Raw genomic sequence first — 19977 nt, 5'->3', positions numbered from 1 at the left:
AGTGTCACCCTTCTTTTTTTAAATTATACTTTAAGTTCTAGGGTACGTGTGCACAAAGTGCAGGTTTGTTACATATGTATACCTGTGCCATGTTGGCAGTGTCACCCTTCTTCACAGTGTCCTTGAGAGTAAGTCCCATCCAGTCACCAACTTATTAATTCATCCCTACTCCCCTCTATAATTAATCTTTCCAAAAGAGCTACCTCTACTCATTGCCAGACTTCCTCATATCTTATTTACACTATAACATATTCCAGGCATATTTCTGTAACATCTGTACATTAAGCCTAATCTTGTCGAGGACACATGACACCTCAACACTACTTTATCCAAAGATCACTTCTCTGTTTCACTTTTACTTGATAGCTCAGGATTTGTCACAATTAATTCCTCCACCTGCCTTGATATAACCCTATATAGGTTTCTATATCACCTCACTCTTACATTTTTCCTTCTTTCATTCCTACTTGTTCCCAGTTAGCATTTATCGTTTTTCCTCCATCTCATGCTGACCTTTACATCTTGGAGCAAAAGTCATAGTTTTGACATTTGGTTCTCCACCTGCACTTAATTCTTGGGTGACCTAAGAACTGTGCCATGATTCCAAAACCTGTATCTCTAGCCTTGACCTCTCACCCAAGTTCCAGATTCATGTATTTAATTAACAACCTAGCATGTAGGGACTTTGGATACACTAAAGGATTAAGAAATTAATTTTCTCTTCTTAGTTATGATACTCAGACATATGTAAAATAATCCCACCTTTTGTACTACTAGAAGAGACTATACCTGCAAATCATACTTATGTCTTTGGAGTTAAAATTATCTTAATATTAAGTCACAGATTGTATTTTCTATTACGTTGGTGCAAAAGTAATTGCAGTTTTTTGCAACACTTAAAAAAATAGCAAAAACCATAATATTTTTGTACCAACCTACTATTATACTTCTTTAGTTTGTGCTGGAGCAAGAAAATTGGCAACTTTTGTGCCTTTACTCATAATCCATTAATTATTTGTTGAGTAATTTGCATGTAACTTATACTGGAGATATAACAGGTAAGAAAACAAAGTTTCTTATCTCAATAAACTTATATTTAAGTGAGGGAGATTGTATTGTCTCTGTCAAATGTATTGTGCATGTGTGAATGTGTGTGTGCATTTCACATAAACATAAATGGCGTTTTGAAGTGGGCAATAAAATAGGGAGTGGCGGAGTGAAAGAGCTCTCTGTTGAAAAACATCTGAGCAATGCCTGGATAGGGATGATACCATTTGACTGTTTGTGGAAGAGCTTTCTGTGTACACACGCATTAAACACAAGGGCTCCTAGGCAAGATCCTCTTTGGTTTGTTAAAAGAATTGCAAGGAGACAAATATATGTGGACCAGAGAGAGAAAACTAAAGGAGGTAAAGAACAGCAATCAGGAAAATTCTGAGAAAGGGAGGCAGATCACATAAGGCCTAGTAGCTCATAAAGAGGTTTTGTGCTTTATTTTTTTCAAATTACTTTGTAATAGTTGTCTCCCACCAATGCCAGATGGTAAGATGCAAGAGGGAATGGGCAAGATTAATTTTCTTGACTATTTTACCAGTACCAAGGGTGGTGTCTGCTTCATGAAACAAACTTATTAATATTTGTTGAGTGAATAAAAATGTTAATGAAATGAAAGCCATATTCTAGTAGAAAAGAATAAGGATTGTATTTTAAGTGGAATTCTGAGGGTTGGAGGCAGGATCTGATCAATCCTGTAGGTTTAATTCAATGCTGTGCTCAATGGCGCCTCTGGATCATGAGATACTTTTTGTTCTTCTCTAAATTCCTAAGATACTCTCTGAGGTATAAATGATGCACTGGGGAAAATGTAGTTCAATTATCTCAGTGAAAAATGAATTCACTTTTTAATTATGGATTGGCATATTTCAGACTTTAGACTTTTTAGTGTTTAACAGAGACTAAATCTCCAGAGAATGATCAGTCTTAATAAGACGTGATCTTGGGTCTTGGATTCAAAAGCAGGGCATTTTATCCTTTGTTGAATTAAAGGATACAATGCACTGCTGAATTCTGCCATAGTTGATTCCTTTATGTCACCTGCACAGTTTTTCAAAGCCATAAATCTGACTGTTGGAAACAGAAAACCTGTATTCCTACAAAACAAAGGTAAATTAATAAGAACCACTACTTTCAGTGAATATTACTTAAGGACAGAAGGTAAGATCATGTAATTTATCATAACTTGTTCCAATGTAGAAAGTTTCAAGAGGACTTAAAAAAACATTTAAGAAATTAAGATTAAACATCTTAAATTAAATATGTCTGAAATACTAAGTTTAATATTGTCATCTAAACTGTGAACATAAATTGTTTTAAAAGAGGGAGATTTAGAATCACTAGAAACAATTTCATAGAATATTCAACATATATATACACATACATACAGGAATGTATGTATACATGTATATATACACAAATGTGTGTGGTGTAAAAATATGAACATTTAATTAATTTTGCATATAAAGAGAGCAAAACCCAAAGAGATATTTAATTCCCTATGAAGAACCTTAAATTGAATACTTTTATGCCATTAAATGCATAAATTGATAAACTGATAACAATTTTCAGCCTTTTTCTTGAATTTCAGTTGCACTTGCTCTATGACATCAAACAAGTTAATATTCCTTAGTTCAAATTTATGTTTAATACAAGGATAATTCTATCTTGATTAAGTTTGTTGCAATTCCATATGTCCATGAGGGATGATGTATCCCATGCTCTTTTGTAATAAATGGAATGTAAGCCACTCCATATATATTTTTCTAAATATGAATCTAAATTATGTACACATGGTGGGAAAACAGTTACAAAACTAAACAAATTGCTTCCCTCATATATATGTGTGTTTGTGTGTGTATATATATATGTATAAAACATATATAACATAACATACCCATACACTCAGAGGATCATATATATCAGAGAAAAGATGATAGCTTTTACGTCACCTTATACATTTATTACATATATAATGTGATTGATCATATGTGTGTACATATATATTTACGCAAAAATAAGAGACTTAAAGAATGGCTGCAATATTTTAAAGAGGTTATAGAGTAGAATTTTAGCTGTTTTAGAGATAGGAGAATCAGTTTAAAAGACTATCGCAGGCCGGGCGCGGTGGCTCAAGCCTGTAATCCCAGCACTTTGGGAGGCCGAGGTGGGCGGATCACCAGGTCAGGAGATCGAGACCATCCTGGCTAACACAGTGAAACCCTGTGTCTACTAAAAATACAAAAAATTAGCCGGGCGTGGTGGCGGGCGCCTGTAGTCCCAGCTGCTTGGGAGACAGAGGCAGGAGAATGGCGGGAACCCGGGAGGCAGAGCTTGCAGTGAGCCGAGATCACGCCACTGCACTCCAGCCTGGGCGACAGAGCAAGACTCCATCTCAAAAAAAAAAAAAAAAAAAAAAAAGACTATCGCAATAATGTAAGTAAAAGATGGCTTGGTATTTAGTGACAATGAACGTGGCAGAGGTAGCTGGCTTAGGATACAGATCTTTTAAAGGAAAACCCAATTGAATAATCTGATTGGCTATCCAGCATGTGACAAGGAGAAAATATCATGTATCCATCATTTTTGTCTATTTATTTAATTTCACCTGTGCAAATGAAAGCATGGAGCTGTCATTGACTTGAGACGGGGAGTGCTATGTTTGGAGCAAATTAGAGGAGGATATGAGGAATTCAGTTTTGGTCATGTTAAGTTGCCATTTGATAGCCATATGGAGATGTTAGCAGTTAAATTATAAGCCTGGAGTTTGGAAAAGAGGATAAGACTAGAGATATGGCTCAGAAGGTACAAGTACATAGACAATATTTAAAACCATCAGACAATAAGAGCACCTGGGTAGAGTGGAAACAGAAAAGGAGGAAGCTCTGAGACACTCCAACACAAAGAGGGAGAAGAGGAGGAACAAGGAACGGAGACAGAAGGAGCAAGCCATGTAGTAGGAAGAAAAAACAGAGGGCTTGATGTTCTGGAAGAGTAGAGAAAGAAGACTTTTAGAGTTGTAAGTAATTAATTATGTTTAATGTTATTGATAAATCTAGAAAAATGAGGCCTGAGAATTCACCATTGGATTTAGCAATCAAGACCAATGATGTGTTGAACAAAAGCAATTTCCAGGGAGTGATGGAGAGAAAGGCCTGATTTGAATGGGCTAACAAGAAATGCAGAAATGCAGAAAACAAGAAATGCAGAATTCAGTACAGCATATATATAACTGTGTCCGTATGTTTAATTGCTAAGGGAATGGCAGAGGAATGGGAGGACAGGTGATGAAAGCAGTAGGATCGGAATAGGAAGAGAGAAAAGTTGGAGAATAGAGTAGGATATCATCAAAGCCTCTCTCTCTCTCTCTCTCTCTCTCTCACACACACACACACACACACTATTTTAAATAAAATAGGTAATTGAGTTTACTTAAGGGATCTTTTGTTCTTTACCTCCATATAAAATAAAGAGTAGTTATGAACACAGAACATCTTAGAAGTAATCTTATTTACAGTCAAGAATGAACTATTTAATATCCTAGGTTTTTGGGGTATAATTTATTTCATTTGTTCCTCTCTTAAGTAAATTTTATTGTGTATATTTGAGGATTAGCACGTTATGCTGTGGGGCTCATATAGATGTATACTTACACATAGATACATATAGCTAATACAGTTGTTACTATAGTGAGGCAGATTGGCATATTAACATATCTATCATGGTTTGTTTCTCATCCCAGCAAATGAGTCTTCTATTCTGAGACTAAGATATGAGAAACTTTACACCACTGTCTGGATTTATTATCCTGGGATTCACGGATCACCCAGAATTACAGTGTCTTCTTTTTGTGTTGTTTCTTCTCATCTATATGTTCACCGTTGTTGGAAATCTTGGCATGATTCTATTAATCAAGATTGACTCACATCTCCATACTCCAATGTACTTTTTCCTCAGTAACTTGTGCCTTGTTGACTTCTGTTATTCTTCTGTCATTGCCCCTAATATGCTGATAAATTTCTGGGTGGAGAACCCAGTCATTTCATTTAATGAATGTGCCACTCAATTCTTCTTTTTTGGCTCCTTTGCTGGCATTGAGGGTTTTCTGTTGGCTGTCATGGCCTATGACTGTTATGTGGCCATCTGCAAGCCTCTGCTTTATACAGTCCTGATGTCACCCCACCTCAGTGCCCTCCTGGTGTTAGCCACATATCTTTTGGGCTTTGTAAATGCTGCCATTCACACTGGCTTCACCTTCCAGCTGTCATTCTGCCACTCCAATATCATTAACTATTTTTTTTGTGATATTCCACCCCTCCTGAAACTCTTGTTCTGATACACACATCAATGAGGTTGTCATTTTTGCCTTTGCCAGTTTTAATGAATTGAGCTGTCTCCTACTGATTCTTGTTTCCTGTCTCTACATCCTTGCTGCCATCTTGAAGATCCACTCTGCAGAAGGGAGGCACAAGGCCTTCTCCACCTGTGCTTCCCACTTGGCGGTGGTCACTATCTTCTTTGGGACAATCCTGTTCATGTATCTCTGCGTCCCAGCTCCAGCTACTCAATGGATCAAGACAAAGTGGTGTCTGTCTTACACAGTAGTCATCCCCATGTTGAATCCTTTCATCTATAGTTTGAGAAACAAGGAAGTCAAAGCTTCTTTAAGTAAAATGTTTAAAACAGTCTCTTATATCTCTACTTAGAATCATCAAGCCATAGGATGTCAGGGCTCTAAGGAAACTTACAAATGACCAAATCTACTTCCATTTCATTCTGCCATGAGGCTTTTCCCCGATAGTGGAGTTGGACTAACTGTTCCAAGCTTCCTGGAGAATATGGCCACTCTATGTAATTCCCACTTATTCTACATAACCCAATCTCAAAAATAACCAACTATCACAGTTCAACACCATGTTCATAGCTATAAAACCCAGTATAAAGATTGCTGAGACAGAAAAAGACTGAGTGGCAAAAGGAGCAATTCTACCTTCTTCCATGTGTGATGGCTCTTTGATTGGATGATGGTTGAACTGCTAAAGAAGTTATGAGGAATAAGCTGAGCCAGAAAATGTCCAGACACCGAAACAGGGCTTGGAAACTATGCCGTTCCCCTAGTGAACCAGAGAGAAATACCAGAACTAAATAATGAGAGAGGGGCTGAAGTCCAGTGTTCTTAACCTAAAGAAAGAATATGTAGCAAGAATAATGAGAATAAACTCCAGGATAAGTATAAGAATAAAACAACGATTAAGAATGCTAAGAGTTATTATGAAGCAGAAGTTTCTGGGGTTGGGAAAGAGGTATTCTGCATAATTCTTGTATGTAAAGTGTCAGGTTGTTTGATCTTTACATGTGGAAATGATTAAACCTTCAAGAACTAGGGTAAGATGCACATTCTTTCTCTAATGCCTTAGCAAATAACCATACATGTCTATTTTGCTACTAGATGCAATTTTATTTGGGTAAGTTCAAAGTTTTCAGCGATTTGACTGGTAGTTTTAACTGAGATATCTTCTAAGTAGGACTATGTTTTCTTTGCAGATTGTGATCATGGACATGTGAACAATAAATGCTTCCAAATGGAGGGGATTGGATAAAATATAGTTTGTATGATCATAGTAGATGATTTCATTCAAAGACTCATTGTCATCTAAATGGAAAAGTGGCCACTTAAAAGTACCTAAGCAATAATTTTGCTTTCAGTTACAGCATATTATTTTTGATGAGAAATTGTACCTCAATATTATAATTTGATCTGTCTTTATTCTGCTTTCAGACATTGCACATTAAAAATACACAATTGTATTGCTCAATCAATGCTTTTGCCCATCTCCCCATTCTTCTTCCTGAAAGACCTTCATATTTCAAGACACAGCACAAACATTATTTTCATTGTCATTCCCAAAGTAGACAACTACACGTGTATATTCCTGTGATTCTGTAGATATTACAACTCTAATCAGCTCTTAGTCTCAGAAACAAAAGCTAATAATAGTAATAATAATACAATGTAACGTTTCCTAACATAGTCTGAGAGCTCTGTGAGAAATGAAATGTACTTATATACATCTCCATGCCTTCATAGTAGCCCATCAATAAGAGTTTTTAAATTGAGAACATAATTCCAATAGAAGGCACAGGACTATGGAAGACAAAATCATTTTCGATAACCTCAATTTTAAAAAGTCAGTGTTAGAATTGAAAGTTCTATTATATCTGGTTGGGTAATCTGTCAGATAATGTGTAGTCCTTTTAAAGCAAGTTGTCCTGTGTTCTTAGAAAGTAAAAACTTTGATAAACAAAAAAATTTTAGTATTTTGTATCTTTAATTTTACATAAAACAAATGTGATTTCACCATATAGTAATAGAATATTCATCTTTTTTCCATGAAAGGACAAAAAGTTAATCAAACTGACATAGACCTAGAATTAGAACAGTCTCTCTGATGCCAACCCTTTCATTTATTTTCTCATATTATGGATTGATTTTTTCCTGTTCACAGGCTCTTTACACTATATACTCATCTTGACACATTTTCAGAATTATTGCATTACAGGCAAGGTGTCTGTTTTTAGAAAGAACTGTTCTTGCCTGAAATGGCTCATGTGTTTGTTAGCTCTGTGTGTGTGTGGTATGTGTGTATTTGTATATGTATGTGTATGTTGGTGAGAGGGGTGGGGTCATGAATTACCAGGAGAAATCTTGCTCTATAATAGTGGCTAGAGTCCACAATACGTTTATTCAGTAAAATTACATTCCTTGCTTTCCCACTGTTTTTTTCATTAACAAACTCTTAAGCCTAGGCAATGATGCTTTATGCTGTTTAGACCTCAAAAATAAGGTTAAAATAACTCACTCGATTAGTTGATGGACCAGATGTGTTTCCATATGATGTAATTTATAGGCTCCTTTTAACAAAACATGTTTACAACACTGTCTGTCACATTTCATAGAGTTCTTCTAATAGAAAAGATAACTATTGAGTACTGAGCTTAATACCTGGGTGATGAAATAATCTATATAACAACCTCCATGACACTAGCTTACCTATATAACAAACCTTCACAGGTGCCCCCAAACATAAAAAAAAGTAAAAATAAATAAGTATGGCCAGTGTATTTCACATTTGCTTTTGACATAATGGTCAGCATTTGCCCAACTAGCAGTGTGGGTCATTACATTTTATTTTACTAAACACACTGATTACTGACTTATTCTAACATTTTTAAAAATAAAATACAGACGTCAGAACCTTCTTAATATAAATATGATAGTGACTGTAAATATTGGGATTAAACTAACAGCCAGGTCCCCCTTATACAGTAGAGAATCACGAAAAAGGCCATAAAGTATGACAGAAGACTTGAGTTTTAGACTAAAACCTTGAAAATGCAGCTCTTGCTTCTTTGGTTTTTCGATATAGTCTAGATTTGAAAGCTTCATGTGTTTTCTTCTTTGCATCTCAAATTAAGTTTCAAATTAAGTAGACATAGACCAAAGCTACAGTAAGAAAAATCTGGAATTGCAAGATTTTTTTTGAGAAGATAATCATCTTTCAGTAGAGGAAACTGCAATATATCATATGAATGTAAATCATTTTCTTATTCAGAAAACGTGTTGTAAATAATTTCACTTTGCTGATAAGAGTAGCTCAGAGATGCCCAATATTGGTGACCAAGGTAGTGAAAGGAAAAATATATCTGCTGACTAATCAAGTAGAAATAAGTTCTTGAGTAAGACTAAACATATGACCCTGCTTAATCATAAACAGCTGACTTCTGCTGTGGTGATTCCTATCAATCATCACTTCCAAACAACTTTCACATTCATTATTCCCATTAGACTTGCACTTGATCCTAAGCTATGCATATCCAAAAGTATATCACTGTTATTCCAGAGAATTGCATTTAGGTAGAACCAATGAAGGTCACTTTTTGATTTTTTTAGAGACTCATTTATTTCTTATTGGGAAACTGTAGTTACTGAATTTTTCTTCGTCTTACCAAGGTTTCTCATAAACACTCTTTTCAAGGCCTGTTTCACATCCTTGTTTCTCAGGCGGTAGATAAACGGGTTCAGCATGGGACTCACAAAAATACAAAACACCACTCCCATTTTCCCTTGCTCAACAGACAGCTCATTTGTTGGTCTCAGGTACATGCAGAATAGGGACCCATAGAACATAGTGACAGCTGTCAGGTGGGAGCCACAGGTGGAGAAGGCTTTGAGCTGCCCTTCACTGGAACGGATCCTCATAATGGTGATGAAAATGAAAATGTAGGAGATGAGAATGATGAGCAGGGAAACTGTGAGGTTAATCCCTGCTGACACAAACAAGGCAGTTTGTTTTATGTAAGTGTCAGAAGATGTCAACATTAAGAGGGGTGGGTCAGTACAGTAGAAATGGTTGATGGTGTTGGGTCCAAAAAAGGACAAACGAGAGGTCAGTATTACTTGCATCGTGCCCACCATAGAACCCCAGAAGTAGGGGAAAGTCACCAGGCAGATGCAAACTGCTCTGGACATTTTGCTGCTGTAATGTAGGGGATTGCAGATTGCCATGTAGCAGTCATAGGCCATGGCACCAAGCATGTAATACTCAGTAAGGAGCAGAGTCACAAAGACAAAACACTGGGCCAGACACCCAGCGTAGGAAATGGTCTTCTTCTCAGATAAGAAATTAACAAGCTCTGTGGAGAGACATTAGTGGAGTAAAAAATATCCACACATGCTAAATGAGTAAGGAAAAAATACATGTGGGTTTGGAGCTGAGGAGTGAATCTGATTAGGAAAATCATCCCAAATTTCCCAGTCAGGGTGATGAGGTAAATCAGGAGGAATACCACAAAGAGCATAGGCTGCAGCTCTGGCTGGCTAGTCAGTCCCAACAGAATAAATTCAGTTACCTCCGTGCCATTGCATTTGGGATCTATCTTCATCTTCATAGTCTCTAATAAGAAAAGAAGAATGTGCCAGATACAAAAAGAGAAATAAATTATATGCAATCTAAGAATAGGCAAAATCAATGAGCACTGAAACAAACTAGTGTTGCAAAGAGAATTGCAAGCAATATTTCCCTTAGAGATGGAAAAGTCTCGATAGATGCTTTCAGGTAGTTTGTGGCTCTGGTTAAAGCAGACAATACAGGAGATTTTGAGGTTTATGCACCAAATTGTGCTGGCTGTTTTGGCTTCTTCCACCTCAACTCTGCTAACACATATGGGATTTGATGTAGCTTACTGGTGTCCCTAAATAGGCTGTGGAATCAGGATCCTTTATCCTCAAAAAGGCGACCACCACAGTCTGATAATGACACAAATGCTTGATCTGGGAACACGGCTAACGAGTAACTCCCTGTAGACTGGCTCCATCGTTGCCAGTAAAGGTAAACCTTCTGTGCATTGGAGGAACACATATTTCCTGAGTCTATGGTATGTATGCCTAGGTTCAGTTTCTTCCTCATTTCTTACTCCCCAGTAACAATGGACTTCTCCTGGTCCCTTGGTGTTCTGTCCATCCTAACGTTTTTTGTCCAAAGCAACAATTGATGGATAATTTAGATTGTTTCTTCACCTAATATCCCCTTTCATTTCATAAATCTCATTTTATCTCACAACATCCCAATTTAGTTTATATTTATATTTCAATTTATCCTACACCTTTGACTTAACACTTTATATCTGACCCATCAGAAAGTCTTCTCAGGTCTATCTTCAAAAAATTACATAATAAATTTTAAACCCACTTTTCAGCATTTTCTTTGCTACCAGTCAGGTCTTAGATAAAATTATCTCTTGCTTAAGCTACTACAATAGCTCCTTCTTCTACTCTTGAAATTATCTGTTTTCCAACACCAGCCAGTTATATTTTATAAACATAAATCACAACCTATTACAAATTTGGTAAAAGGGTTCAAGATTTTTCATCACACATGGGCTAAAATCTGAACTTCTCGCCAGGACACACAAGGACCTACGTGACGTCTTCCCACCCGTGTCTCCAAATTCTTCTCTTTCCACTTTCTCTTCTGTCCTTCTTCTCCTGCTACCTTGACCTTTCTAGCTGTTCCTTGATCATGCTAAGAATATTCCTACTTCAGCTCCCTCTGCCCAATTCCTTCCCAGATTTTGAGTGATTCATTTCATCACTTCATTCTATTTCAAATACCTTTTTAATCATGAATCATGATTTATTTTTCTTTATATCATTTATCACTTCTGAAATCATTTACTTAAATATTCATTGTCTGTTCCCTCCAAAATGTTAGCTATATGAGCACAGGAACATCATTTGTGCCATATCCCCAGAACCTGGACTAATGCTTGAATCATAGTAGATTCACAGTAACCATTAATGTATGAATTAATGAGCTCACTTTGCCAACTCACATCAGCTGACATTTCATGGTATGCAGATCTCTTACCTTTCAGACGTTATCAGTAGAGACCAAGTTACTACAAAAAAATTCCAGCTACCATGTGAAGAATGTATGGAAGGGAGTGCAATTAGTGGTAGAGAGATCATTAGGGGCTTGTTTTAGTAACAAAGCTAGTGATAATGGTGCCTGAGCTAAAACTTAACATATTAATAGTTAAAACTTTCAGTTTGCACTGTTGGAAATTAGGTGGGAGTTGACTCAAGGCTACAAAAATGAGTTGTCTTTAATTACTATAGAAAATTTTGCAAGGATGAGAGGACACAGAATGTTCATACCTTTTAAGGAAAAACGATATTGCTTTATTTAGTTTATGTATCACATATTCACAAATCTAACATTTAGTTCAGTGGTTATCAGCCCTGGCTTCACATGAGAATCAAGTTGGAGTTTTTAAAAACACTGATACCTAGGTTCTAGCCCAACCCAGGTGGGACACACACACACACACACACACACACACACACAAATATATATGTAACTAGTATATATAATATATAGAATTAATAATGACATATATATATCTATATATAAAATATTATTTTAAGTTCCGGGATATATGTGCAGGATGTGCAGGTTTGTTACATAGGTAAATGTGTGCCATGGTGGTTTGCTGTACCTAACTGATATGATACTTTTTAACAAACTTTCATTCTATTGTAATGCACAGACAACATTGAAAGCTCTGAACAAGACAACTGAAATGGCCTGTTTGTATTAAACAAGATTTTTTTTCACGTGATTTTACCCCGATAGCTTACACTTTCCCCTTACAGTAGATTCTGAGATATTGTCCCACAAAGTCTTTTTTCCAGCCCCCAAATATAGAACTTGCCATCATCAATGCATATAAAACTTTCCTTCATTGGTTTGGAATAAAGTATCCCACTATCTGATGTTATCCCTTACAGTATTCTGTTGGTGCTAGAAAGCTTAAGAAAAGAAAATCTTTCTGAGAGGCTTCATGATCCTATCTCAAGTCTTCTCACACCCAAGAAACAGAGGGCAAAGGATGAAATTATAGAGGGTTACACCATCCAATTGTTGATTACATACAGCCCAGGGTTTGATTTATGGGATACATATGAAAAGAGTGTTTCCTATATATCACCAGTTGTGAAAGTAGACCTTGACATAGTTATGTTTCAAGTTATGAGCTAATGTGGGGAATGGGAAAAAAGGGCTATGTTATAATTCCCAGTAAAATGTTCACACTTTTAAAAATGCCATTGCAGATGGTTTGTGGTGAATGACGTCTAAGATATTTTCATTCACACATCACATACCATAACCCACAGTAACATGGGCCAACACCAGATGGACATATCTCATATTGTTGAAAATTCCAACAGCTTTCACTTTTCATTCAGTGGTGTTCTGTCACGTCAGGAGAGAGATGAGTAAGAAAATGGGAAGAATAAAGAGAATAATCATTAAATATATGAAATTATTCTATTTTAAATAATGGAACTATTGGAAAGAAACCAAACTATGCTTAGGGCAGGGAAGAGTTAAAGCTCTGTGTACAATGCAGGAGGAAAAAACACAACTTCAAGCCATGCAGAGTATTTTCTGAAAAATTCTGCCAAGTGGGACACATCAGGTGAAAGCTCCATAAATCCATAGCAGTGTTGGCAAAGGACAGAAAAATGTATTCTCTTGGAACAAAATAATGCAAACCTATTTTTCTTTTTCTTTTATGTATTTATTTTTTTTGAGATGAAGTTTCTCTCTTGTTGCCCAGGCTGGAATGCAGCGGCACCATCTCGGGTCACTGCAACCCCTGCCTCCCTGGTTCAAGTGATTCTCCTGCCTCAGCCCCCGAATAGCTGGGATTAAAGGTGCCCACCACCACGCCCAGCTAATTTTTTTTGTTACTTTTGGTAGAGATAAGGTTTCGCTATGTTGGCCCGGCTGGTCTCGAACTCCTGACCTCAGGTGATCCACCCACCTCGGTCTCACCAAATGCTGGGATTACAAGCGTGAGCTCAGACACAGCATTGCCATCATATTCCAATGCAAAACCGAATTGAAGAAACCTAAGAAAAGCTCCTAGAAATGACGATGGAAATGTGTTCACTTTTTTTTTTCCTTCTCACCGTTAACCTTACCCTCATTTTTATCCAATTCTCTTGACACTCTCCTCTTAGTAATAATTGTATTAAGTAATTAAAGACATAGAAGAGTATATTTTCTTGTGCCAAATTCTAAGGCTCTAGTTCTGGAGAAGGTAAACAAGTTAGTGGAAAAATGTATGTTTTTGAATTCCAAGATTTGACTAAAACTCAACTTGTAAGCCTACTCTAAGTCTCAGCTGTGTCATGAATAATGGATCTGTAACTAATGAGAGGGCTATTTGCAGAGCCTGCCTGACCTCCTCGTATATCACTAGTTACCTGTTGTCTTCATCAGAGAGTCTGAGGCCTGTCTGTCTATGGTTTTGTTTTACCATGACAATTCTTATGGCCACTACTAATTTCATTTTATGTTCAAAAGAGGAAATAGGAAATCACACAAATTTCTTATGAGTTCTTGATTCTCAGAACTGTCAGACTTACTTGTGAAGGAATAGTAATTTCTTATCCTACTCAAAAGTCCCCAGTGTGGGAGGATTTATACTGAATGACTAATCTCGGTAGACTCATTCCTGAAGCATTAGATAAGAAACCCACAGGATATCATTAGGGCTCCCTCTGGAGGCGTTTACAAAAGTCACATCATAATGGATAGAATCCTAATTTAGATGTACATAGTATCTTTCAGTAAATGCAAAAACACTTGGTACAGATTTTGATGTTGGGATTAATTCTAGAGCAGATAGAAAGGTGTTCCATTCTTGGTAATCAAAAGACTTTTGCCGTGACTCTGCACATTATATCCTCAGCTAAAATAGTCTTTTGCTTTTCTGAAAACCTTTGTTGGTTTTTTCTGCCACTCTTGCAATATATGCTTTCTTTTATAACTATTCTATTACTCCTATGAATTGTAAATGCTCTGAGGATAAAGCTAACATCAATTTCATCTTGATAATTCCTATGGAAATCTGCACAACACTTTGGGTGTACAGTTAATATTTGGTGAAGGGTTATTGAGTAAATAACTGAACAGTGGTAATTAGTTTAAACAAAATTAGTTCAAGTACACTTACTGCCATGGGCTACTTATACAAAGATATGTATAATTTATGATTGCAGAGATATGTTAATTCATATAATGTTTAATCTTTGGGTCTGAAGTAGATTAACATTTGAAATCAAAGTCCTACTACTTCTGGGTCAGATTCATAATAATACTATTATAAATAAAAATAAAATAATATAATAGTATTATATCTTTCATTAGGGCTAAAACAATCTTCCTCTCCTGCGCTCTAGTACCGTTAATTTTTGACGTTAAAAAATGTAGATTATGACAGAGAGAAAATCCAAACCCAAGTCCTGGTTCTTCGGCCTGGACACACTAATGAATGGAGAGGAACAACAACAACAAAAAAACTTAGAAGCTTTCTCTGAGACAAGCTATCCCAATCTCCCTTGCCCAGGCTTTGGCCCTGAATCAACTTGTTGAGTAGCTAAAGCAAAGTCAACTTTGGGATTAGCTTATTTGGGCAGCTATGATCACAGCTATTTCCACAGTTTCTTCAGTTTCCATGTGGCATAGACAGTACTTAAACTTCCAAACTTCCAGCATGTCCCTAGTAGGTGAACATGCAAATAGCTAAGATTTGATGACCTGGACGTATTGCACCAGTGAAGCTGAGTCCTACACAGCTGACTTCCCAGGCCATTTCCGAATGGATATAAGGGGCAGACCTAAGGGAGGTCTGTAAGTCTTTAAAACCAAGGTGCAACTGGGTCATCAGGGAAGATAAGAAGGCTATGGCTATATTCAGCCAAGAGAGTGAAATGACTCTGAGGTACATTTATCATGGTGGATGACAGCAAAGCAAAACTGTCACCAGGCAGATTAGAGGTCAAGAAAGACCGGAGAGCAGCAACTGGATGCATTTCTAGGCCTCCCTTCCTTACCAATAGAGGCCTCGCAAGTTACAGAACGGAAAAAGGGATTAAAATTTTAATGACTGGATATTTACCTAAAGAGAAAGACAAACCAAAAGAGTTATTTCAATCATTGACCATTTTAAGTCCAAAGCTGCTTTGTAAAAGAAAGCCATAGATCACAAGTTCATGTAACATGTAATTGGGTCCTGACATATAGACACAAGCTTTTGCAACAATTAAAGTTTTGTTCACTATAAGTCTTTTTTGGAAAAGAGAGAGAAACATTCAAATTATTTACATACCAGTTTCCATTAGCATGTGAAGAACAAACAGAAACACTTTTCAGGGTGAACAAAATTCCTGCTACAGTTATAAAATCCTGCATATACTCTTTACTTTGTGATTCTGAAAAACACCGTTCTACCTGGTTTATTGAAATGTGTGAAAGCTCTAATGCAATGTTATTTTTTACATTTTGTAACACTTAAGTCATAAAGCCAAGCTATTCTCAAACCTTGATGAAACATGTTGGAAGAAATTATGTTTTAGTGTTTGGTGAAAACATTATGTTTCGTCACTTAAGGTGATAAATTGTACTCATTAAAGAACTTTGAAAGTTCACACACAGCCAATGGTTTAAAATGCACTAATTTAGATTCCCAATTCTCACAAAGGCCAGTTACTCTGGACCATTCAATCGCCAAAGAGGAAAACTGGGGGCATTCCCATCCCGGGATATGGGAAGTCCCCGAGCTTCCAGCCTGGTCCTTGTGGCCGAAAAATGGCATGTTTTGCTTTTGCTTTTGGATCCTGTTCGTGCCGCCAAAAATGTTCTGTGTGGGGAAAGTGCGAGGGGAGAGAAAAGACACGGACATGATACGTTTAAGGGTAAACAACGTTTATCCCATGTAAGTGGCCATGCAGATATAGTAAGCAAATGATATAATAATAAGCAAATGATATAATAAGCAGATTGATATAATAAGTAGATTGCAATGGAACGGGGAAAAGGGAAAATACATCTACATTCACCAGACTATGGAGGATTCAACAACAGACTGGGACGCAACAGCCTGGGCTCCAGAGTCAGATAGGTAGGCAAAGAGATCCTAGTTCTATACAGATACGTACCATGGAGCAGTTCCACTTTCCTAAGCACATTCAGTTGTGATAAAAATAGATGAGTTTCAAGGGCTGATACATTACATGCCACACTCAAAGTTGTGTTGTTAAACAAAGAATTACAATTTCAAATAAAAGCAATGTTTACAACCATGGGTTCAAGAGAAGTCTAAGTGAACACATATAATAAAGACTTGCAAAATAATAAAAGATAAGGCTCTTTAACTATCAAAAGACTTGCAGAAAAGAACCACAGAAAACCATTTTAAATATAACTGCCTTCGTATGTAAGAAATTCTACATTATTTTTGATGTTAAAACATCAATCTCATGCTTACTAGGCTATTTCTTAATGACACATGTATTTACAAATTTGAGAGAAGAGGAAGAAATATCAGGTGACACCACTGGGTTAATGCATAAATGACAAACCTAAATGCATTTTAATTTCCTTTTCTTTAAATCGAGCTGAGCTTCAGCCCCTTCTTTTTGTGGTGTTCTTAGTCATCTACCTTATCACAGTAATCACAATGTAAGCATGATCTTCTTTTTTTTTTTTAAGTGCACAATATTTTTAACTGTTAACAATATACCTATTGTTACCTATGGGCACAATGATATACAGCATATCTCTAGAATTTATTCTTGCAAAACTATAACTTTATACCTGCTGAACAGCAACACCCCATTTCTCCCTTTCCTCCAGCCGCTGCAACCACCTTCTATTCTCTGTTTCTATGAGTTTGACTATTTTGGATTCCTCATATAAATTTAATCATGCAGTATTTGTCCTTCCGTGCCTGGCTTATTTCACTTAACATAATGTCCTCCAGGTTCATCATATGACAGGATTTCTTCTTTTTCTTAATGATGAATAATATTCCATTACATGTGTGTACTACATTTTCTTCATCTTTCAATGGACATTTAGGTTGTTTCTATATCTGGACTATTGTAAATAATGGTGCAATGAACATAAGAGTACCTATGTCTCTTCAAGAGCTTGATTTAAATTCTTTTGGATATATGCCCAGAAGTGCAATTGCTGGTTTATATGATAATTCGATTTTTAATTATTTGAAGACTCATCATACTGTTTTTTATAGTGGCTGCACAATTTTATATTCCCACCAATGTTGTACAAGGGTTCCAATTTCTTCATATGTCACCAATATTTGTTGTCTTTTGGATTTTTTTAAAATAAAGTAACAGCCATCATAACAAATGTGATATCATGCTTTTGTTTCATATGCATTTTCCTGATGATTAGTGTGTTGAGCACCTTTTCATTTTTATTTATTTATTTATTTATACTCTAAGTTCTGGGATACATCTGCAGAACACGCAGGTTTGTTACATAGGTATACATGTGCCATGGTGGTTTGCTGCGCCCATTAACCTGTCATCTACATTAGGTATTTCTGCTAATACTATCCCTCCCCCAGCCCCCGACCCCCTGACAGGTCCTGGTGTGTGATGTTTCCCTTCCTGTGTCCATGTGTGTGAGCATGAGCTTCTTAATAAGAAGTGATTCAACACTACACACTCCAATGTGCTTGTTCCTCAGTCATCTCTCCTTTGTAGATCTCTATTATGCCACCAATGCCACTCCTCCGATGCTGGTTAACTTTTTTTTTCCAAGAGAAAAACCGTTTCCTTTATTGGTTGCTTTATCCAATTTCACCTTTTCATTGCACTGGTGATCACAGATTATCATATGCTCACAGTGATGGTGTATGACCACTACATGGCCATCTGCAAGCCTTTGTTATATGGAAGCAAAATGTCCAGGTGTGTCTGCCTCTGTCTCACTGCTGCTCCCTATATTTATGGCTCTGCAAATGGTCTGGTACAGGTCATCCTGATGCTTTGTCTGTTCTTCTGTGAACCCAATGAGATCAACCACTTTTTTTTTTTTGGAGAAAATGCATTATATGCACATTTAATTCCACTATAAATTTTTGAATGGACGGTTGGAGAGGAAGGGAGAAATACATATTAACGGAGAGAATACCACCCAGAAAGTATATACAATGGGAGAAAGGAACCTGTTGATCCAAGTTTCCATATTCTTATTATGGCATATAAGGTCATGATTATTTTCTCAGTATGAAGCATCTCCCAGGGCTGACTCTGATGTAAAATTGGAGATCAACCACTTTTATTATGCAGAACCACCCCTCTTAGTCCTCGCCTGCTTGGATACTTATGTCAAAGAAACTGCCATGTTCATGGTGGCTGGTTCCAACCTCATCTGCCCTCTCACTATCATCTTTATTTCCTACACTTTCATCTTCACAGACATTCTGCATATCTGCACTGCTGAGGGAAGGTACAATGCCTTCTCCACCTGCGGGTCCCTTGTGACTGCCGTCACTGTCTTTCAAGGAACGCTGTTTCACATGTGCCTGAGGCCCCCTTCTGAGGCATCTGTAGAACAGGGGAAAATTGTAGCTGCTTTTTATATCTTTGTGAGTCCTACGTTAAACCCATTGATCTACCGTCTGAGGAATAAAAATGTTAAAAGAACAATAAGGGAAGTTATCCAAAAGAAACTGTTTGCTAAGTAAGGTAGATATTTTAGTTGCAGGTTATGTAATACATTATTTTTATCTTACCAATTAACGAGCATTATAAATTAACAAATCACTTTCTGTCATTGAGTGTTTTTTGTCTTTTGTAACTTGCATATGGGAATTGAAAGTGTATACCAAATTATTAGCTAGAGTTGACAGTGTCATCTCAGTGAATTTAAGAAGAAATCATAGAAATTTAAATAGAAGACTTATGGCATGTAAAAGTCAATAAAGAACAGTGATTCCTTCTTTAGTACTCATATTGGTAGCAAACGATAAAAGACAGAATGCAATGGAAATTACAGTTCATTACATTTTTATAGTACTTAATAACTTCCAAACTATTTTCTAGACACCTTTCAAACATAGTATATGAAGTTTTCTCCTTTCTTTTATACAGATAATGCAACAATAAAGATCACTGATGTAGGGAAAAGAGAGATCAGACTGTTACTGTGTCTATGTAGAAAAGGAAGGCATAAGAAACTTCATTTTGACTTGTACCCTGAACAATTGTTTTGTCCTGAGATGCTGTTAATCTGTAACTTTGCCCCAACCTTGAGCTTATAAAAACATGTGTTGTATGGAATCAAGGTTTAAGGGATCTAGGGCTGTGCAGGATGTGCCTTGTTAGCAGAATGTATACAGGCAGTATGCTTGGTAAAAGTCATCGCCATTCTCCAGTCTCCATAAACCAGGGGCACAATGCACTGTGGAAAGTCACAGGGACCTCTGCCCTGGAAAGCCGGGTATTGCCAAGGTTTCTCCCCATGTGATAGTCTGAAA

The 19977-nt window shown here is 36.7% G+C and overlaps 3 pseudogenes, besides 1 other annotated feature; 2 read left to right on the top strand and 1 right to left on the bottom strand.

The window, feature by feature from the left end:
* Positions 4826 to 5765, top strand: OR5AP1P (olfactory receptor family 5 subfamily AP member 1 pseudogene; annotated as a pseudogene).
* OR5M12P (olfactory receptor family 5 subfamily M member 12 pseudogene) lies at positions 9028 to 9995 on the bottom strand (annotated as a pseudogene).
* Positions 13552 to 14231: an enhancer, noted in NCBI's record as "NANOG-H3K27ac hESC enhancer chr11:56392173-56392852 (GRCh37/hg19 assembly coordinates)". NCBI's record gives its function as "activates a minimal SCP1, AML or CMV promoter by ChIP-STARR-seq in primed H9 embryonic stem cells {active_cell/tissue: H9 hESC(primed)}" and the evidence as "EXISTENCE:reporter gene assay evidence [ECO:0000049][PMID:30033119]".
* OR5AM1P (olfactory receptor family 5 subfamily AM member 1 pseudogene) lies at positions 18118 to 19182 on the top strand (annotated as a pseudogene).

The sequence above is a fragment of the Homo sapiens genome, chromosome 11 (genome assembly GCF_000001405.40).
Source record: "Homo sapiens chromosome 11, GRCh38.p14 Primary Assembly".
NCBI classification, from domain to species: Eukaryota; Metazoa; Chordata; class Mammalia; order Primates; family Hominidae; genus Homo; species Homo sapiens.
Note: the sequence above shows the minus strand (reverse complement) of the source record. Positions and strands in the feature narration are given on the sequence as shown.